Source organism: Homo sapiens, chromosome 8 (genome assembly GCF_000001405.40).
Source record: "Homo sapiens chromosome 8, GRCh38.p14 Primary Assembly".
NCBI lineage: Eukaryota > Metazoa > Chordata > Mammalia > Primates > Hominidae > Homo > Homo sapiens.
Window position 1 is genome coordinate 119,914,582 of NC_000008.11, and position 22,534 is coordinate 119,937,115.

A 22,534-nucleotide genomic window follows, 5' to 3' on the forward strand; every position below is an offset into this window, starting at 1 on the left:
GGTGCTTGCCACCACGCCAGGCTAATTTTTGTACTTTTAGTAGAGACGGGGTTTCACCATGTTGGCCAGGCTGGTCTGGAAATCCTGACCTCAGGTGATCCGCCTGCCTGGGCTTCCCAAAGTGCTGGGATGACAGGCGTGAGCTTGCCAATCCCCCAAGCACTTTTGAAAAATGCAAATCCTTGGGCCCACCCCAAATCTATTGAATTACAAACCGTAGGAGGTGGGGCTCAGCCTTCTGTGTTTTACAAGCCCTTCAGGTGATTCTAACACAGTCTATTTGTGAGAATTACTGCTCTCACCTTCTCTGACTATAATAGTTGCAGCAGTCTGCAGATTACTTGGTGTGTATTTTTTATATTCCATGAGGGGGTGGTATATTGGGCAATATTATTATTTTTTTTGAGATGGAGTCTCGCCCTGTCACCAGGCTGGAGGGCAGTGGCACAATCTCAGCTCACTGCAGCCTCTGCCTCCTGGGTTTAAGCAATTTTCCTGCCTCAGCCTCCTGAATGCCTGGGACTACAGCCATGTGCCACCACGCCCAGCTAATTTTTTAATTTTTTAGTAGAGGTGGGTTTCACCATGTTGGCCAGGATGGTCTTGATCTCTTGACCTCGTGATATGCCTGCCTCAGCCTCCCAAAGCACTGGGCTTACAGGCATGAGCCACCACGCCCAGCCTATTTTAGTTATTATTTAAATAATGTTTTTATATTTGATCTTTCTATATATTTTGTCTTTGTCTAAAATTGTCCCTGAGACTGTTTCTTCTCAGGGAAGAAGTTTTCAGTTTCCAGGACTAAACATTTCATGGCAATGCAGTGTCTTTCTCAAGAGTGAGTATAATCTGGGTGTTTCCAGAAATGACTTGCAGGGCTGTCACAAACAGATTCTAGGCTAGCTCTCTCATCAGCAGTCCACTCTTGGTTAAAGCACTAGATTAGCAACTTCTGTTTCCACAGTGGCGCTCAACCAATATTCTGGTAGCAGTCAGGAGGTCAAGGTTTAACTCTTATCTGGGAAAAGAGGCAAGTTACCTAACTTCTGTAAGTCTCCGTTTTTCCAGCTGTAAAACAGTGATATTGGCAAGGACTTGAACTAGATTGCCTGACATTTCTTTCCAGTTAAGACAATTCAGTGATTTTGGTTATCAGTTAGGTTGATACCATAGAAGAGATGAGGTTGATTCCAGCAAACCTCGCAGTAGGGAGTGGCCAAGTACTCTCTCACCTGGACTTTTCTCTGCTTTGACTTACCACTCCACCAGAAGGGCTCTCTTTCTAATCCTTTAACAAAAGAGAACAGCCAAGTCTCTCCAGTAATTGCCAATCAATTTTTCCTTGATTCAGGACTTCATTTGTTAAAAAAAAAAAAAAAAAAAAAAGCTGAAATGCTACTTAGTGGCCTCTTGATGGCACTTCTGGCAAAATCTGACTCTCATTTAATCCTCTCAATAACCCTATGAGACATTCTCTATCATTCCCATTTTACAGATAAGAAAGTAAAGGCACTGAGAAGTTGAATGCTTTGTCCAAAGTTACACAGTGAATAACGGGTGGACGCTGGAGTGCAGTGGCGCGATCTCAGCTCACTGCAACCTCCACCTTCTGGGTTCAAGTGATTCTCCTGCCTTAGTCTCCCGAGTAGCTGGGATTACAGGCACATGCCACCAGGCTAGGCTAATTTTTTTTTTTTTTTTTTTTTTTTTTTTTTTTTTTTAGAAATGGGGGTTTCACCATATTGGCCAGGGTGGTCTGAAACCCCAGACCTCAAGTGATCCACCCACCTGGGCCTCCCAAAATGCTGGGATTACAGGCACGAGCCACGGTGCCCAGCCAACAGGGATATTATAAGGCTCAGCTCTGATAGTGTATTATGGTGCCATTCAGATGTAAGGTTATTACTGTTACTATGTCTGCTGTCCACCAAAGAAAAAGTTAAGCTTTTAAAGAATTAAAGTTAGTTTTATTTGGAAGGCTTACTGAGGACTATAGACAGGGGTCAGCAGCTCAGGAGCAGCCCTTTAGAAAGGTTCTATCCAACTGCCCCTGCACAGTATTTCAGCCCATTGCTTATATACAGGTGGTGGAGGTTCAGTACATGCAAAATCACATCAGACTTGTTCAGAAATTACATTAAGCTGAATCACAGCAAGGTTTGGATGTAAGAGTGCATCTGGTTGTAGATTACAGAGGCATAATTACTAACCCCTTCAGATGTTATCTTATGGGTAGGAAAAGGCAAGGACTAGAGTCCTTTATCATTTGTTTATTTATTTGGTCGGTTGTTTGTTTAAGACAGGGTCTGGATTTGTCACCCAGGCTGAGGCGTGTGCCGCCACACGTAGCTAATTTTTAAATTTTTGTTGCTAGAGATGGGGTTTCACCATGTTGCCAAGGCTGGTCTCGTACTCTTGGGCTTAAGCAATCTGACAGCCTTGGCCTCCAAAGTGCTGGGATTATAGACGTGAGCCATGGTGTGGGGCCTCATTTATCTTTTAAAGTGTACAGTGACTCCGGCAAGAGATCTACGGGGCTGTGTGCTCTATCCTGTTTCGTCTTCAAAGTATCTTTCTAGAGAGCTACACATTATTAGAGTCAAGGGCTTTGTGAAATTATGTTGGCAAACAGAAATGAGCAAACATGCCCTCTTATATGTGTTACATTGTCTCACTCTGCTAATACTCCATGTTGATTTCAAAGACAGTACATGATATATGAGATTCAGAATGAAACATGCTTCCTTCCTTGTGGGGAAAAGAAAGATCAGATTGTTACTGTGTCTGTGTAGAAAGAAGTAGACATAGGGGACTCCATTTTGTTCTGTAATCTATAACCTTACCCCCAACCCTGTGCTCCCTGAAACATGTGGTGTGTCAACTCAGGATTAAATGGATTAAGGGCTGTGCAAGATGTGCTTTGTTAAACAAATGCTTGAAGGCAGCAAGCTCGTTAAGAGTCATCACCACTCCCTAATCTCAAGTACCCAGGGAAAGAAAGCACTGCAGAAGGCTGCAGGGACCTCTGCCTAGGAAAGCCAGGTATTGTCCAAGGTTTCTCCCCATGTGATAGTCTGAAATATGGCCTCGTGGGAAGGGAAAGACCTGACCTTTCCCCAGCCCAACACCCGTAAAGGGTCTGTGCTGAGGAGGATTAGTAAAAGAGGAAGGAACGCCTCTTTGCAGTTGAGACAGGAGGAAGGTATCTGTCTCCTGCCCGTCCCTGGGCAATGGAATGTCTCGATATAAAACCCGATTGTATATTCCACCTACTGAGATAGGGGAAAACCGCCTTAGGGCGGAGGTGGAACATGCGGGCAGCAATACTGCTCTTTAAGGCATTGAGATGTTTATGTGTATACATATCTAAAGCACAGCACTTAATTCTTTACCTTGTTTATGATGCAGAGAACTTTGTTCATGTGTTTATCTGCTGACCCTCTCTCCACTATTATCCTATGATCCTGCCACATCCCCCTCTCCGAGGAACACCCAATAATGATCAATAAATACTAAGGGAACTCAGAGGCTGGCGTGGATCCTCTGTGTGCTGAACGCCGGTCTCCTGGGCCCTTTTTTCTTTCTCTATACTTTGTCTCTGTGTCTCTTTCTTTTCCAAGTCTCTCGTTCCACCTAACGAGAAAAACCCACAGGTGTGGAGGGGCAACCCACCTCTTTACTTCCTGGGTGTGTTTATCCTCTCAATCCATTGCAGTGACAAGACACAGAGGTTGCATAGAACTTTGCTTTGTATTAACTTGACGTGAGTCCTGGAAGGGCTCTGTATAGGAGTTAGGACTCTGACTTGTTTTTTATTCACAGAGCCATTGCTAGTGAAACATTTGGCATGGACCACCTTTATTTATTTATTTATTTATTTATTTATTTATTTATTTAGAGACAGATTTCACTCTTGTTGCCCAGGCTGGAGTGCAATGGCACAATCTCGGCTCACTGCAACCTCCGCCTCCTGGGTTCAAGTGATTCTCCTGCCTCAGCCTCCCGAGTAGCTGGGACTACAGGCACGTGCCACCATGCCCAGCTAATTTTTGTATTTTTGGTAGAGACGGGGTTTCACCATGTTGGCCAGGATGGTCTTGATCTCTTGACCTTGTGATCGGCCCTCCTTGGCCTCCCAAAGTGCTGGGATTATAGGCGTGTGCCACCGCGCCCAGCCTAATTTTGTATTTTTAGTAGTGACAAGGTTTCTCCATGTTGGTCAGGCTGGTCTCGAACTCCCAACCTCAGGTGATCTGCTTGCCTCAGACCCCCAAAATGCTGGGACTACAGGCCTGAGCCACCGCGCCTGGCCATGGAATACCTTATGAAGTGGTTACTGCAGCTATTTGCATAGTGAGTGTGTGTGTGTGTGTGTGTGTGTGTGTATGTGTATGTGTGTGTGTTGTCCAAGACCAATTGCTTCTGGCCCTACAGAATCACCTGTGCTCTGTTTATATAAACCAGTTCTATTCTCTTTCCTTCTTATTTCTATCTGTATTTGTTGTTTTGTTCTGATCAGGTTGGGAGAATTCAAGCATTTTCTTGAAGCAAAACTACATGAAATGTGTATTATGATCCTATTTCATGTAAAAAATATACAAATATAGCCATATGTGTACACATACCTAGAAGATTTCTGTAAGAATACATAGGCAGCTATTATATTAGGTTCCTTTGGAAAGTGGAGGTGGAGGAAAGCCTGAAACATATTTTTTGCACAGTAGGTAGAAACATATAGTGACCTCCTATGTCCCCATCTCCTAGCTTCAGCAATGATCAGTTCATTGCCAGTTAACCCAGCTTTAATAATTGTCTCTTCATCTGAACCGAGAAAAGAGACTTTTAATTTCATTTTTATATATATTTGAATTATTTTCTACTGTGAGGATATATTATTTTGATAATTTAAAATCTGAATTAGAAAATAAGTTCAGATATTAAAAGGAAATGCAGTGTATTATATTTCCATTTTGTTTTTTTCTTTTAGACTCAGAGTCTTTCAACGGTGTGTGATAAAGAGTGACTTTCCCTGGGTTCTCAGATCCCCAAGGACAGATATTGGCTGTTGCAGAACATCTGGAAAGGAGGAGAGCTGTAGTTTAAAGCATATCTATGTCAGTACTGTTGCCCAAATCACAGGCTCACACTGTCAGCCCCACTATTTGGCTTGCTGTGTTTGTTAAACTGTTTACTTTGGCTGAGATTTATGACGCTGTTTTAAAATGAGAATATGTGGTTTCAATCTCCCCTTTGTTCCCTGAGTCCCACAATCTGCCACAGTTCTCTGCAAGCTATTTTTGAAAAACAATTTCTACATTTCTTATCAGATGGACAGTGATTTTGCAGGTATTGTTAACACCCTGCACCCAGTAATGTTTGTTCTCTTAGGGCTGGAAGAGGAAATGGTCTGATGCAATTTCAGCAGCTGGTTAGCTGGACAGGAATAGAACATTACAGAATCACCTTGAATCTAAAGCCTGTGAACCAGCTGTCTGAGATGAATAATAGGAAGGTTTTTTTTTTCTTAATTTATATTTCATAGCCAGTGGGATTGAAAATGCAGCTAAAATACAGATGGTCACTCTTCCCAATGGTTTAATGTGATTGGGACTCTGTTGCTCAGAAAACTATTCTATCTATGCTTCCCACCATGCTGAATACATAATATGCACGAATTAACTTTCACATCAATGAGATTTCTATCTCCTACTATTTGCTATGCACTAGAATTGCAACAATAAATAAGCAGCTCCCCTTTAGTATCCCTAATGTCATCTAGTTGTAATACAGTGCGATGAATGCTTTACTGTTGGCGCTAAAATATTGTGGGACAATAGAGGAGAGAGAAGGCTGTTTTCTGGCTTTGGAAGGCTGGGAAAACGTTCACAGAGGAGGTGCCCTTGAAAAGCTGACCCTTGAAGATAAGTCAAATGGTTATGAATTATTGAAGGCAGGAAGAAGGAGCATTCTAAGCAGAGGCATGGAGGGTGATTAGCATGTTCAGAGGCTGAAGAAGAGTTCAGAATATTCAGAGTACAAAGCAGGAATGCATGTGATTGGGAGGTGAGAGAGACAAGGAAGCTCAAGAGGCGATCTAGGGTCAGGGTGGAAGGCCTCCTTAGCTCCTGGGTAGGTGAGGTTCTTTTGGATCCAGGGAGTCGAGTCCCACTCAGCCCCCTGAGGGGATTGGTAGTGTCTTGGTTATTATACGAGTGCACATGGCTTGGAAGAGAAACTGGAAAACTCTAAGGATCTGAGGAACTCCTGCAACTTGTTCCTCTTGCATCCCTCATTTGCTGCTTCAGGGGCTTCCTGTTGCTTTCTTGGCTTCTCTGTGCTGCCCCCACTCCCCTCTCCTTCCTAATGGTCCAGTTTCCTCGATGACTTTTAGCACTGAGGTTTTTTTTTTTTTTGAGACAGGGTCTTGCTCTGTCACCTAGGCTGGAGTGCAGTGGTACAATCTCAGCTCACTGCAACCTCCATCTCCCAGGCTCAAGGGATCCTCCCGCCTCAGCCGGCATAGTAGCTGGGACTAAAGGCATGTGCCACCACACCCAGCTAATTTTTGTATTTTTAGTAGAGATGGGGTTTCACCATATTGGCCAGGTTGGTCTCGAACTCCTGACCTCGGGCAATCCACCAGCCTCGGCCTCCCAAAGTGCTGGGATTACAGGTGTGAGCCACCATGCCCAGCTGAAAATAACATCATTTCTATTAGTGTCCTTATACATTCATTTGTTCACCAAATATTAAGTATTTGCTGTGCCAGGCAAAACACATACGTGTGCAGTGTGAAAATTTTTATCTCTTTATTGGGATAGTTTTTCTGGAATATACAATTTTCAAAGCTCATTTTTAGAAGTCTGTGTTTCTGACTACAAAAGAAAAAAGATAATAGCACAGTTCTTATAGATTTTAACCCCGGTGACATGTCTAAAAATATTGAGTTCTAGGCTATATCCTGGATCCAAAATTATTTCCCCCCCATCATACTCAGTTTTCTTAAACATGGAAATGTACCAGGACCCAGTGGGACAGTAGGAATAGTGTGTAGTGCTTCTCCCCTTCTACCCTTGCAGGGAATTGGTGGAAATCAGGAATGTTCAAGAATTAGCCCTAAGCTCCAGGGTCATAGAAGGATGGTAACTGAAAGGTTCTATTCTGTAGTTTTTTTTTTTGTTTGTTTGTTTGTTTTTTGAAACAGGGTCTTGCTCTGTCACCCAGGCTGGAATGCAGTGGCATGATATCGACTCACTGTAACCTCTGCCTTCTGGGTTCAAGCAATTCTCCTGTTTCAGCCTCCCAAGTAGCTGGGACTACAGGCACACACCACCACACCCGGCTAATTATTTTGTAGTATTTAAACATAAATAGGCTGGGCGCAGTAGCTCAGGCCTGTAATTCCCAGCACTTTGGGAGGCCGAGGTGGGTGGATCACCTGAGGTCAGGCGTTTGAGACCAGCCTAGCCAACATGATGAAACCCCGTCTCTCCTAAAAATACAAAAAATTAGCTGGGCATGGTGGCGGGCACCTGTAATTCCCACTACTCGGGAGGCTGAAGCAGGAGAATTGCTTGAATCCAGGAGGTGGAGGTTGCAGTGAGCCAAGATGGCGCCATTGCACTCCAGCCTGGGCAACAAGAGTGAAACTGTCTCAAAAAAAAAAAAAAAGATAAATACTATCTAATAATTCTCTTAGGTTGGAAAGTTTACAGGAGCTAAAACTCTTCTCTTGGCTCATAATATAGTCCTTCTCCTACTATATATAACAAATTACATAGTAGCTTGTTCCACATTTTAATTTCTAAGTAAATTGGTCTTCATTATTCTTGGATTCCTGACAGACATCACATCTAAGAATTAATATTTTGCATTCTGCCACTCTGAGCATGTTAAACAAATTACTCAGTGTCGTTGTCACTGAATTAATTAGAAGGATTCATGGGATGACTTTAGCACACCGTATGTAAACTTGTTTTTTTAAGCTGGTGCTTAGTTTTTATTATTAATAATTACAACTCTACATAGGTATCATTTGTGGTTTTAGAATTGACTGCCTCAGGGAGTTGTTATGAGGATTAATGCCCATAAAGCAGTTCAAACTGTCCCTAGCACATAGATGCATAAGATTATCTTCATTTTACCAGTAAAAACTCTGATGCTCAGAGGTTGTAGAGTTACTGGCAGCACCAGGGTGAGAACCAAGTCTTTGTATTCCTAATCCCGTTTTTCTCATTATCCTCAGAACTGACATTTTGGGGTGAAATCTGTGATAGTCAGAAATGAACAAATCTGTGTGGAGTGGAAATGTAGCAGGCCCTGGTGGGACAGTAGGGATAGTGTGTAGTGCTTCTCTCCAGGAAGTACTTCAGACCCAGGAAGAGTTGGTGGGTCTGCACTTCTTGAAACACCATCCCCGAACATGGGCTGGTTGTCAAAAGGAAGAACTGAACCTCATTGGCTTGCTGGGAAATACTCCTGCCACCTCTTTTGTTCTGAAGATCACCTAGGTCTTCCCTGGAGCTGTGTGCTGGAGACTATTTTAGTTGGTTTTGTTTAGACTTATTATGTATATTGAGGTAATATTATAAATTAATTTAGTGGCTTAAAAAATCTCCACATCTATTAACCTCTATCTGCTGTATTTATTTATTTGTTTATTATTTATTTATTTATTTTTGAGATGAGGTCTCTCTGTGGTGCCCGGGCTGGAATGCAGTGGCATGATCTTGGCTCACGGCAACTTCCACCTCCCAGGCTCAAGTGATGCTCCCACTTCAGCCTCCCAAGTAGCTGGGATTACAGCTGTGTGCCACAACACCCAGCTAATTTTTGTATTTTTGTAGAGATGGGGTTTTGCCATGTTGCCCAGGCTGATTTGAACTCCTGAGGTCAAGTTATCCTCCCACCTTGGCTTCCCAAAGTCCTGAGATTATACGTGTGAGCCACCATGCCCAGCCTATCTGCTTTAATTGCTTTTTCTTCTTTATTGAAGTATTTTTTCAATAAGAATTTCATTTTTCAGCTATGTGATTTATTTGTCCTGACAGTTTATAATTTGCTTGATAAACTGTCTGACATCCATTTATTTTCCAAGATCTATATCTCCCTCTTCATAATTATTTTATCTTTGAATCCTTATTTTCTTGACTTTATGTTCTTTTTAAATTGTTTTAAAATTTTTTATAGTTCAGACCACTTTAAGGAAATTGTTTCTTGAATTGTGTTTTCTTTCAGACAGGGTTCTTCTTATCTACTGAATGCTCTCTTTTTCCCTTCCCTCTGTTTTTCCTTTCTTTTCTTTTTTCTTTCTTTTTTTTTTTTGGTATTATTTTTGCTTCACAGTATCACATAGCTGTTTGCTTTTCCCCATGATGTTTATGCTTAATGCAGACAGTTTTGTCCATGCTTTCAATCTGTCCATACTCTATCTGTGCTTGGAAATAAAGGCAGGTGACATCTCCTTAGCACCTTCCTAAGTCATCTCAGAATGTCATTTTCCCCTCTGAGCTAAATTTGATAGCTAATTATTTGTTCCATTGTTTTACAGCTTAAGGGCTCCTGGTGATGGAAGGAGAGAGTCTTGCTTCTGAGGTGTTGTTCAACTTCCTGTCCTAGGGTTCATTTCACATAGTCAGAGATGGATCCCACTGCTATGGAGGGATATTTTTGCTGCTGCAATGGTCCCCAAATTTATTATTGAGTTTGGGAGGCTTCACTGTTAGAGAAAAGGTCTAGTTCTTCATCTCCTTCATTGCACCTATCTTTCCCCAACAGCCATTTCAACTGTCCCTAATCAGAAGACAGAAAACTCAGTTATTTATGGTTTTTTTTCCTTCAAACTTTGGGGTTCTTAATGAAAATTCTGAGGATTTCATTGACTTAGCAACAAGGCTTCTGGGTGGTGAGAGTCTACTTGCCTTACCTTGCCACTCTAAAATCTCCTGCTTATTTTTTTGGCTGCTACTTTATTTATGTTTTCATCTTTTCCCTTTATTCAAAAATTACAAAGACTTTTTTTGGTCATTTCAATGGGTGGAGAGTATTTTAAGGCTAATCTACCCTATCGGTAAAACAGGCCTAAATCACTTTATTATATCATGATTCCTTTTGTTTGTTTGTTTATTCATTTATTTTTATTTTATTATTTTTTTCTTTCCAACTTTTATTTTCGTTTCAGGGAATTCATGTGCAGGTTTGTTACATGAATAAACTGCATATTGCAGGGGTTTGGCGTACAGATTATTTCGCCACCCAGGTAATGAGCATAGTAGGCAATAGGTGGTTTTTGGGTCCTCACCCTCCTCCCACCCTCCACACTCAAGTAGGCCCCTGTATTAGTCCATTCTCATGCTGCTAATAAAGGCATACCTGAGGCTAGGTAATTTATAAAAGAGAGAGGTTTAATGGACTGTCAGTTCCACATGGCTGGGGAAGCCTCATAATCATGGCAGAAGGCAAAGGAAGATACATGGCCGTGGGCAAGAAAACTTGTGCAGCGAAACTCCCATTTATAAAACCATCAAGGCTGAGTGTGGTGGCTCACGCCTGTAATCACAGCACTTTGGGAGGCCGAGGTGGGTGGATCACTGGAGGTCAAGAGTTTCAGACCAGCCTGGCCAACATGGTGAAACCCCGTCTCTACTAAAAATACAAAAAATAGCTGGGAGTGGTGGTACACACCTGTAATCCCCACGACTTGGGAGACTGAGGCAGGAGAATTACTTGAACATGGGAGGTGGAGACTGCAGTGAGCCGAGATTGCACCACTGCACTCCAGCCTGGGCAACAGAGTGAGACTCTGCCTCAAAAACAAACAAACGAAAATAATAAAAACAACAACAACGAGAACAACAACAAAAAAAACCCATCAGATCTTGAGATTTATTCATTACCACGCGAACAGTATGGGGAAAACTGCCCCATGATTCAATTATCTCCACCTGGCCCTGCCCTTGACACATGGGGATTATTACAATTCAAGGTGAAATTTGGGTGGGGACACAGTCAAACCATATCAGCCCCAGTGTCTATTGTTGCCTGTTTACTTTTTGTTTTTTTGACACAGAGTTTTGCTCTGTTGCCCAGGCTGGAGTGCAGTTGTGCAATCTCAGCTCACTGCAACCTCTGCCTCCCAGGTTCAAGCAATTCTCCTGCCTCAGCCTCCTTAGTAGCTGGGATTACAGGCATGCACCACCGTGCCTGGCTAATTTTTGTATTTGCAGTAGAGACGGGGTTTCACCATGTTGGCCAGGCTGGTCTCGAGCTCCCGACCTCAAGTGATCCACCTGCCTTGGCCTCCCAAAGTGCTGGGATTACAGGCGTGAGCCACCATGCCCGGCCTGTTGTTTCCTTCTTGATGTCTATGTGTTCACAATGTTTAGCTCCCTTTTAGAAGAGAGAACATGTGGTATTGGTTTTCTGTTCCAGCATTAATTTGATTAGGATGCCAATTAAAAACATTTATGTAGTTAGGGTTTCTTTTTCTTTGTCTGGCTACTTCTGTTTGCTGTTTTTTTAAAAAATTATTTTCCTTAATAGAAGAAAGGGAGATTCTGTGCTCCGATTTCACTCCACCAGCTTTACCAATTTATAATCTTTACAGTTCCCATTTCCTACCTGGTCCCTGGCAAATGAAGCCTAGTCTGGCTCCAAGCACATGGGTTGAAGTATCTTCTGGAATACTCAGATAAACATGATGATTCAGGTGCTCTAAAAAAATCACACAACTAGCTTTCCCTAGAAGAGGAAGCCCTAAGGACTCAAAGTGTCTTCTGGCATCAGTGTAGTTTCCTTTCTTTTTTAGCATAAAACATTAATCCTAATGTACTAACCTTCAAGGTTAATAAAATATATCCCCCATAAGGTTGTCAGAAAATGCAGAGTGCCCTCTAAAATTTGAATTATAGATACAGTATAATAAATTGTTTTTTTAAAGTATAAGTAGGTCCCATGCAATATTTGGGTCAAGCTTTTACTACACAATGGTTTGCTGTTTATCTGAAATTCAAATTTAACTGGGTTTCCTGTCTGGTTTTTCCTTACTAAACCTGGCAGCCCTACTCTATCACCACCATCTTATGAGAATGTTTTCTGGGTCTACTGGATACCTCTCCTTTAGTATTTTCCTGATATCACTGATATCCTCATCTCTGTTACTAGTGGATTCATTGCTATGTCCTTTCCTTAGCCAATCCTATAGTATGACTTGACTCTTAAGTTTTAGATAATAAATATTTGCAGATGGTAGAACATTGTACAGTAAATAAGCATCATTAACATTCATTCCCAATTATTTAGCACTCAGCCAAAGAGCAGTAATAAAGCACATAAGATAGCCTTTGAGTGACCAAAATAGATGTCATAAATTCCATGCCCAAAATGCTCATTTTCTTTCTTCGTAGATGTTCATATCAGGCTTTTGCTCAAAATATTTTAAATCCTAAATACTGACTACTTAGCAGACCATGGCAGAAGAGAAACAGCAGATTAGGGGAACTGCTTGAGTTTAGGAACAAGGACAACATATGCATATCACAGCAGGACAGGGAAAGGAGATAGGAGAATGAGAAACAGACCCTATGAAGTTCTGGAACCACTGGGTGCAGAGTACAGAGCTCTGGCCGTTTACGTGGTCTCTGAAGGCACCACTGTGGCAACATTCCGTGCCATGGAGCCACAAGCTAGCATTCAGCTCGAGGGTGTATTGGGACAATATTGGTATTAGTAACAGATACCTGAATAAACTCACTAAAGCACAGGGAATGTATCGATTCATGTAATTTAAACCCAGGTTAGGTGGCTTCATGAACTGTTGAATTCAGGTGCTCAAATAGAGTTGTTTGTAATCTCTCTGTCTCTCTCTTTTGTCTCTATCCCTTTATCTCTATCTATCTGGTCCACTTTGCTCTGTGTTGTATTTCTTTCTAGGCAGATTCTTCCTTTATGATGGCAAGATTGGCTAGTAGTAGCTCAAGACACATATATACATATATATATACATATATATTATATATATATAAATATATATATTATATATATTTTAAGACGGAGTTTCACTCTCGTTGCCTAGGCTGGAGTGCAATGGCACGATCTCAGCTCACTGCAACCTCCACCTCCCAGGTTCAAGCGATTCTCCTGCCTCAGCCTCTTGAGTAGCTGGGATTACAGGCACCTGCTACCACACCTGGCTAATTTTTGTATTTTTAGTAGAGATGGGTTTTCACTGTTGGCCAGTGTGGTCTCAAACTCCTGACCTCAAGTGATCCTCCTGCCTCAGCATCCCAAAGTGCTGGGATTACAGATATGAGCCACCACACCCTGATGTATGTCTGTAGTGCCTAGAAGTACCTAACAGGCAGGTAGTAGACATTCATTAATATTTTTTATATGAATGAATGACTACAAGTAGGGTGGGCCCTGAACAATTTGTGATAAAGAGGGTGCACTTTGTTTCAGTGCATTTCTAGGGTTTTTGTTTGCTGGTTGAAACAATAACCCCACTGGAGAGAGAAAAAGCAGGGAGTGAGGCAGAGTAGGGGATGGAGAGCTTTTCTCACTCTCAGGAGTGGCAGGAGGGTTCTGGGTTGGCTGTGATTGTTTCACCCTCATATTTACCTCTGTCATCTAGATCAGAGGCTGGAGTCACTTTCTGGAGCCTTTGAACTCTGACAGTATGGAAATCACCAAGCGAGCTAAAGATATTCAATGACACCTTCATGCCTTTAGAACTTCTGTTATGTTATTACTGTCTGGGATTGGTTTAATAATTTGTGCTGTCATCAGAATTTCCAAAGTAATTGCTAATTTTTCTTTCAGGCTCAGGCTGCACGAAGAAAAGGTTATTAAAGATAGACGTCATCATCTCAAGACCTACCCAAACTGTTTTGTCGCAAAAGAACTGATTGACTGGCTGATTGAACACAAAGAGGCTTCTGACAGAGAGACGGCAATTAAACTCATGCAGAAATTAGCAGACCGGGGCATTATTCACCATGGTGAGTGCGGTGGCGAGTCAAGGTGACTTGAGAGAAATGGAAGGACTAGATCTTTTCATGAACATACCCACTTAAGAAAGAAAACATTTTGCTTTATTTTATCTCCAGTGTACCTCTCCCTGATTGCATTTTCTTCCTGCCTCTAAGAGGCATTTGGGTTCTTTCTTTTTTTTTTTTTTTTTTTGTATTTTTAGTAGAGACCGGGTTTCACCCTGTTGGTCAGGCTGGTCTCGAACTCCTGACTTTGGGTGATCTGCCCGCCTCAGCCCCCCAAAGTGCTGGGATTACAGGCGTGAGCCACTGTGTCCAGCTGGCATTTGGGTTATTTCTATGTACTGCTTTATACCTGTCTGTATATACATCTTTAAGGAATGCATCATATTGTTTTAAAAGTTTTCTATCATTATAGAAGTGCATATTTATGCTTTTGCAACTTGATCAACACACTGTGAGCTTCATCCACATTGATAGTATATGTCTTATTTGTTATTTTTGCTGTTGTATAATACATATGTATAATTATGCCACTATACATTTTTCAGTGGGCATTTACATGGTTTCCAAGTTTTTGCTGTTACTCTCAGTGGGTTCAATGAAGATTCACCAACATGTCTTCTTGAAATCTCTCATCCTGGCCTCGACCTTTGCACATGCCATCGTTCTCTTGGAATACCCTTTCGCCTCATTTTTTGCCCAATTTCGATTCATTCTTCAGGTCTCCACTTACATGAAAACTCTTCAGGGAAGCTTTCTTTTTCAAAAGCTGTGTCACTGTGTTCCTGGGGCACTGGGTACTCTTCCTTTGGGCTCCCATTGCACTCTCTCCTTACCTCTGTAGCCTTATCACACCATATTTCAATTACAGTTGACATTTCTCCTTACCTCACTAGATTTCACATTCTTTGAGGCTGATGCATGCCCCAATATGCTTTAGAAGAATTTGTGGATTGCATGATGAATTGAATTGTGTGAACTTCCTAAATATGATGATGATGATGATGATGATGATGACTATGGTGATGGTGATGGTGATAATAATAGCTAAAAATACTGAGGACTTACTCTGTACCAAGTACTATGTAACTATTTTACAAGTATTAGCTCATATGGTACATATTTGCATGCATGAAGAATGTGATAGTGAAATAATTCTTAATTAGCATCATACTTCGCTTGAGTAATTAAATAAGAGCGATTTTTTTTCTCATTTGCTTCTCTGTGCATATTGTGTTTCAGTGTGTGATGAGCATAAGGAATTCAAGGATGTCAAACTCTTCTACCGCTTTAGAAAGGATGACGGCACCTTCCCATTGGATAATGAAGTGAAGGCCTTTATGAGAGGACAGAGGCTATATGAAAAGTATGTTCCGCATGAAATCCCCCCTGTAATCTTGACTTATAGAAAGAAGCAGAACTGTGCCAGTCTCATTATGTTGATTTCAGCGTGGCTTTTCTATGTGGGCTGGTTACATAACTGTTCTTTTCCATATGAGAAAACTATCAAGCATTTGCTGTCTCTTTGCCAGAAAATAAGTCAATTTCATAAGGTTCTTAATAAAGAATTTACTTAAATCTTATTTTCTGTATTTAAGTTGATTCTACAAAGCTCCAGAATTTTTGTTTACCATCAAATGATGTGGATGCCCCTTTCCTCTCTTATTTTTATTTTTTATTTTTTGGCACTGAGTCTCACTCTTGCCCAGGCTGGAGTGCAGTGGCATGATCTCGGCTCACTGCAACCTCCGTCTTCTGGGTTCAAGTGATTCTCGTGCCTCAGCCTCCTGAGTAGCTGGGACTACAGGCATGAGCCACCACACCTGGCTAATTTATGTATTTGTAGTAGAGACAGGGTTTCACCATGTTGGCCAGGCTTTTCTCAAACTCCTGACCTCAGGTGATCTACCAACTTCGGCCTCCCAAAGTGCTGTCATTGCAGGTGTGAGCCACCGTGCTTGGCCCCCTTTTTTCTTTTAAATACTGTTGTTTTGTAAATTGGAGTTTCAGGCTTGTAAGTGACTGGAGAAGCAGCATCGAGAGCAGGGGAATTGGTCAGGCCAGGAGATGAGTAGTGAGAGAACTTCAGATAGCTGGATGTCTATGAGGAACAAGTTTCAGCCCTTTCAAGAGATAAGTATAGTGTAGCACAGGAGTTTTTGGTTGGTGGGTCTCGAATCTTCTGAGTGGCCATCTCTGGGTTGATCTGCTACTTCTGTGGCCTCTTTACCATTCTGCCTTCCTCATTTAGTTTTCCAGGGCAACCATTAGAAAAAGGGGTGCAGAAGCAATGGCACGTGCTTTGTAACCCTGGCTGCCTTACAAGACTTGAGGGAATTGAAAAATACGTATTTATCGGCCAGGCACGGTGGCTTATGCCTGTAATCCTAGCACTTTGGGAGGCCGAGGTGGGTGGATCACTTGAGGTCAGGGGTTGGAAACCAGCCTGGCCAACATGGTGAAAGCCCGTCTCCACTAAAAATACAAAAATTAGCCCACCATGGTGGTGAGTGCCTGTCATCCCAGCTACTTGGTAGGCTGGGTACGAGAATCGCTTGAAACCAGGAGGCAGAGGCTGCAGTGAGCCGGGATCACGTTACTGCACTCCAACCTGGGTGACAGAGTGAGACATCATCTCAAAACTAAAAAAAAACAAAACATATTTGTCACATAAAAGAGCCTGTTGTACAGTGGTTGGGGGTAAGGGTCTGGGTGGGTGTCTGAGTGGTCAGATTAATTGGCATGATGGTTAAAAGCCAGACAGAGTTTGAAGTGTAGCCCTGTCACCTTACCTTTGTAAAGCTCAGTGTCCTCATTAGTGACATGACAGCAGCAATAGAACCTACCTCCTAGTGCTGTTGTGGGAGTTAAACGATAGCTGTGTCAAGTGCTTAAGTATTTAGCTCAGGGTCTCTGGTGTGTAGTAAGACCTCACAGATGATAGCCATTCCAAATACGAGCACAGTACTGACGGCCACCCTCGACTGTGTCCTTCCTGTGTTATGCGCTCTGTCCCAGTTCTTGTCTCCGTTTCTTGAGGTGGAATGATCACCATTTGATGTCCTAATTTGTACTCAGTCTACTATCACTTGCTTTCTATACTGAAATGGAGAAACTCTCTCATCTTTCTGACTCACATGAATTTGAATGGAAGGGATCCATCAGAACCTCCATTTGTTTACTTGAACATGTGCATTTGTTTTGTTGCTACTTTCTTTTAATTTCTTAGTTCCTTTTGTAAAATTCTAGCAGGTGTTAGGTATTTCAATTACAATGATGTTCCTTTCAAACAATGATTCTATGTTGGCCAAAACATGCATGTCATCTCCAAGGATGAAGGCCAGTGGATTCTGTAAACGCTTTTCCTTTTTTTTTAATTAAAAAAGATTATTATTATTATTATTATTATTATTATTATTATTTTATAAAGACAGGAGCTTGCTCTGTCTCCCAGGCTGGAGTGCAGTGGCATTATCATAGCTCACTGTAACCTTCAATTTCTGGGCTCAAGTGATCCTCCTGCCTCAGCCTCCCAAGTAGCTGGGAGTACAGACTTATGCTACCATGTCCAGCTATTTTTTTTTTAACTTTTTGTAGAGACAGGATCTCATTATGTTGTTCAGGCTGATATCAAACTCTGGTCCTCAAGTGATCCTCTTGCCTTGGCCTCTCAAAGCACTGGGACTACAGCCATGAGCTACTGCACCTATAACACTCTTCTCTAGCTACAGCTTATCTCTTGGGATCTGCATAACCACACTGTGGGGCAGGGATCAGCTATAATTGAAAATGTCTGGCAGAGAACTGTTATTGCTTAATGGGATAGTTATGATGGCAAGACAGTAAGAAGAGTTAAAGTTGCTCACATCTTCTAGAAAGCAGACTTACTCCAGCCTCATGTTCTGTTGGATCTCCCTTCCATCCTATGGGCCAGTCACACAGCACTGTGTATCTCTGAGCATCTTCTTTCCCTTCAGGAGATGCATTAATGCATTAATTATTCAACAAATATAGATTGAGCCCTTTCCACATGCTAGGCACAGCTAAAGACACCAGAAATGCCTGTAGCAAAGCCCCTGCCTTCATGAGCTTGCACTTCAGTTGAAGAGGCAGACATTAAAGGCACAGACACATGAAGATGTGACAGAGTATAATACAGGTGTCGTCGGTGCAAGAAAGAAAAATAGACTTACTGAGGGTGGTGGGGTACTTTAAATAGGGGCATCGGGGAAGACGTTTTTGAAGAGACAACATTTGAATAAAGGAAGCCTTGCAGATATCTGGTGGAAGAACATCCCAGGCAAAGGGAACGGTAAGGATAAAGGCTTTGAGATGGGAATGTGCTGGACATATTTAAGGGCAGTAATGAGACCAGAGTGTCCAGAGGGCAGAAGTAAAGAGGAGAGTAGCAGGAGATGAGACAGGGCCAGTTCATAATAAGGCCCTTAAAACCACAGTAAGAACTGGTGATTTTAAATGTAATGGGAGGCCGTTGGAGAGGAGGGAGTGGGGAAGTGGCAATCTGATATACTTCTGCATGTGCTGTTCCCTCTGCCTAGAGGACTCATGCCGCTCTCACCCCTTTCCCTAAATCACTGACTCCTGTGGCTTCCAGTTAATTGTGAAGGTGGCTCAAGTAATATGTGGTGGCTCATGCCTGTAATCCCAGCACCTTGGGAGGCTGAGGTGGGCAGATCACCAGAGGGCAGGAGTTCGAGACCAGTCTGGCCAACATGGCGAAACCCTATCTCTACTAAAAATATAAAAATTAGCTGGGCGTGGTGGCTGGCACCTGTAATCCCAGCTACTTGGGAGGCTGAGAGGCAGGAGAATCGCTTGAACCTGGGAAGTTCAAGCCCCCTTTCTTTGAGACAGAGCAAGACACACACACACACACACACACACACACACACACACACACACACACAATGTTTATTATTTGTAAGTTAAGCTTCTTAATGCACTTCCTTTAGATTATTTTACCTAAGCTTCTTTTTAAAATAGATGGAGCATTACTTTACTGGCCCATTTTCAGAGGGAGCATCTGGGATCCAATGCATTTAAGTAATTTATATGTGATGTTGACACAGTTTGCGAGGGACAGGGTGAGACATGAACCTGGGGTGGCAGGTGTTGGGGCTGCTGCTGTCTCAGCAGCTCTGAGGGGGTGGGCGTATTGTCAGTATTTCTTTTTGGCTCTTTTCTTGCTTGTTTGTTCTGTGTTATAAATAGGACTTTGTGAAACTTTGTGGTTTCTGACTGAGGTTTTGCTGAACCATGTTGATTTTTGGGAACCCTGGCTTTCTTTTTTATTTTTATTTTTATTTATAAGAGTCTCACTCTATCACCCAGGCTGAAGTGCAGTGGCATGATCTCGGCTCACTACAACCTTCACCTCCTAGGTTCAAGCGATTCTCATGCCTCCGCCTCCCAAGTAGCTGGGACTACAGGCGTGTGCCACCATACCTGGCTAATTTTTTGTATTTTTAATAGAGATGGGGTTTTAACTTGTTGGCCAGGCTGATCTCAAACTCCTGGCCTCAAGTGATCTGTCCGCCTCGGACTCCCAAAGTGTTGGGATTATAGGCGTGAGCCACTGCGCCCGGCCTGGGTACCCTGGCTTTCTAACCCATAGTGGTGTTTCTCAGTCTGCTCGTTGGTAGGATAAACCCAGGTCTCAAAACTACAATTTCAGTAACTCTGCTGGCTCTTAGTATGTATGTCACTCTAGTTACCTTACTTGAGACATGCTGGAACAAACACTAATGAAGAAGCAAGAAGCTGGCCCTTTCAAGTTGCCCCAGTGTGAGTGAGGAAAGCTTTAGAGGAACTGGAGGCATGGATCGTCCTGCACAGTGAGTGGCAATGGCTGTAGGCTCTGGAGTCACACAGCCTGGGTCTTCCATCCCAGCTTCACAACTTGCTTGCTTTGTGCCCTTCAGCAGGCTGACTAAATCTCTGTGATCTGCAGTCTACCGTGGAGATAAGGCTGGGACCCACTGCTGGAAAAGGCTGTTGGGAGGACTGACCGAGATCCATCTGTACAGTGCTGAGCACACTGCTTGACATGGACTGAGAGCCTAGGAAATGTTAGCTGTTGTTATTAGAGTAGTAAATAATAATATAAATACGTGACACCTATTCTTGTTTTCTCAAATTATTTTAAGATGCAGCTTTGCATAGCAGATAACAGCCCAGGAGCCCAGCTACCTGGGTGTGAATCTTGGCTCCATGCCTTGGGGCATGTGGCTTTCTCTCTCTCTGTCTCCATTTGCCTATCTAGTAAATGGAGATACTGACCATCCTGACCTCATAGACTTGTTGTGGGAGTAAAATGGACTAATGAGTATGCACACAGGACAGGGCCCGCATCAGATATGAGTGTATGCTATTGCTCACCTCCTGCTGCCAGCTGTGGGGGAGTATGAGAAAGAGTGTGTGCTTATGGATTGATGCCCTGATGTTGTCATTTTGAGGAATTCATCTAAGTACATTCAGGGCACAATACACTTTCATCAACAAGCTCTAAGCTCTGCTGAGTCTTCATTATGGCCAGCAAATGGACTGAGGGTGCAAAGAATAAGGCATAGCATTTTGTCTCTTCGGGAGGGGCTTACAGCTCTCCACTTAATTTTGCATGGGCACAAGTACCCAAGACACTCAACACATGAACATAAGTCACATTTTCCCAAACAGTACAATTTTTACTTCTCAAAGGAAACCTTTATAAGCAGGATAGTACTCATAACTTAAAAGAACAATGTTGAATCTCTATCCGCGGCCTTAAGATGGTAGAAAGGGTTTTGAGTGCATGTTCCCCACTGCAAAACTTGATTGGCAAAATAGATTTATTTAAGAAAAAAGCTGGCCAGACACGGTGGCTCACACCTGTAAACCCAGCACTTTGGGAGGCCGAGGCGGGCAGATCCCTTCAGGTCAGGAGTTCAAGACCAGCCTGGCCAACAGGGTGAAACCCTGTCTCTACTAAAAATACAAAAATTAGCCAGGCGTGGTGGCATGCACCTGTAATCCCAGCTACTCAGGAGGCTGAGACAGAAAAATTGCTTGAACCCAGGAGGCGGAGGTTGCAGTGAGCCAAGATCGCACCACTGCACTCTAGCCTGGGCAGCAGAGCAAGACTCCATCTCAAAAAAAAAAAAAGAAAAGAAAAGAAAAGAAAAAAGTTGAATTCAGGATTATCAAGTCCTCTGTATAGTAACAAATAAAATCAGCTATAAAAGTGAGTGTGTGTTTGAGGTACAATTTGGTTTTTCCTCACTAAACCCAGTAGTTGAAATGTATATTTTAAACTAACTTCGATTTTATCTTCAAACTTAGAAGAGACTTCTTAATTTTAATTCAACCTCAGTTTTGATATGGAACTAAATCCCCTCTTAATCTGGTTCATAGACACATTAGTCTAGTTGTTTTTTTTTTTTTTTTTTTTATCCAAAGGGCCTTGATTTTCTCAGCAGCAGGAGTTTCTATCTCCAGCTACTATTAGTCTCTTTATCCTGCTTAGGAGTTTAGACCTGATGAAGAATTGGCTTAACAAGCCCGTATGCCATTAGATGTCTATTGAATTCCTACTGCTTCCTTCAATTTCTTTTCCACAGGACCAAAGAGAAATAAAAGGGAGAGAGTACATCCAAAGAGGCAAAGCCCTTCTGCGTGTTTTATCTTATCAGAAGTTTCTCTACCCTGTGTGTTAGGATCTTTCTCCTGTTCTCTCCCAGTGCCTGGGACAATAAATATTTGTTGAATGAACAAAGGGCTCTACATGTTGTGATCGCTATAAGCTGCTGAGCCTGTACCATGAGCTACACAGAGCTTGCTTTTAATAACAAGCAACAATAGCCAGAATTCACCTTGTCTGGCCTCTTTAGAGCCCACAAACCATCATATACATTAATTTGTTTGATCCTCTGTACAACTCTGTGAGTTATATCCAGCAGGCATAATTATTCCCATTATAAAAATGGGGGACATGAGCTGTGGAGAGAGGTTTAATGACTGAGATAGACCCTAGGTAAGGAACTGGAGTGAAAAACAAACAAAAAAAGTCTTCAAGCTTTTGTCTCCATCTTGTTCTATTTCCAGTATAGAGGTGTTTTTCAGGTGACCAGCCTGGGCAGCATAGTGAGACTGTTTCTATTAATTTTACAATAAGGCCAAGCGTAGTGGCCCACACCTGTTATCCCAGCACTTTGGGAGGCCAAGGTGGGTAGATCACTTTACATCAGGAGTTTGAGACCAGCCTGGCCAACCTGGTGAAACCCCATCTCTACTAAAACTACAAAAATTAGCTGGGCATGGTGGTGGGCACCTGTAGTCCCAGCTACTTGGGAGGCTGGGGTGGGAGAATTGCTTGAACCTGGGAGGCGGAGGTTGCAGTGAGCTGAGATCACACCACTGCACTCCAGCCTGGGTGACAGAGTGAGACTCTGTCTAAAAAATAATAATATAAATAAATAAAGTAATTTTTTAAAAAGAAATGTTTCTTAAACTGAGATCCTGAGTTTTACAAATTGCAAACTGTAATA

The 22,534-nt window shown here is 42.4% G+C and overlaps 1 protein-coding gene across 2 annotated transcripts in view, besides 1 other annotated feature; it reads left to right on the forward strand.

Annotated features, from left to right (window-relative positions):
- The window catches only part of DEPTOR (DEP domain containing MTOR interacting protein), a 177,197-nt gene that overhangs the window by 40,860 nt on the left and 113,803 nt on the right, over positions 1-22,534 (forward strand). Inside the window, exons 2-3 of one of the 2 annotated variants that reach the window (NM_022783.4) lie at positions 13,819-13,997; positions 15,234-15,357. The exons of the other annotated variant lie outside the window; for it this stretch is intronic. Of the exons in view, the coding sequence (NP_073620.2) occupies positions 13,819-13,997; positions 15,234-15,357 (303 nt within the window). The remainder of the gene's footprint in view (positions 1-13,818; positions 13,998-15,233; positions 15,358-22,534) is intronic. 2 annotated transcript variants of the gene reach the window in all.
- Positions 20,385-20,464: a silencer, noted in NCBI's record as "silent region_19484". NCBI's record gives its function as "represses an Ori minimal core promoter by ATAC-STARR-seq in GM12878 lymphoblastoid cells {active_cell/tissue: GM12878}" and the evidence as "EXISTENCE:reporter gene assay evidence [ECO:0000049][PMID:35858748]".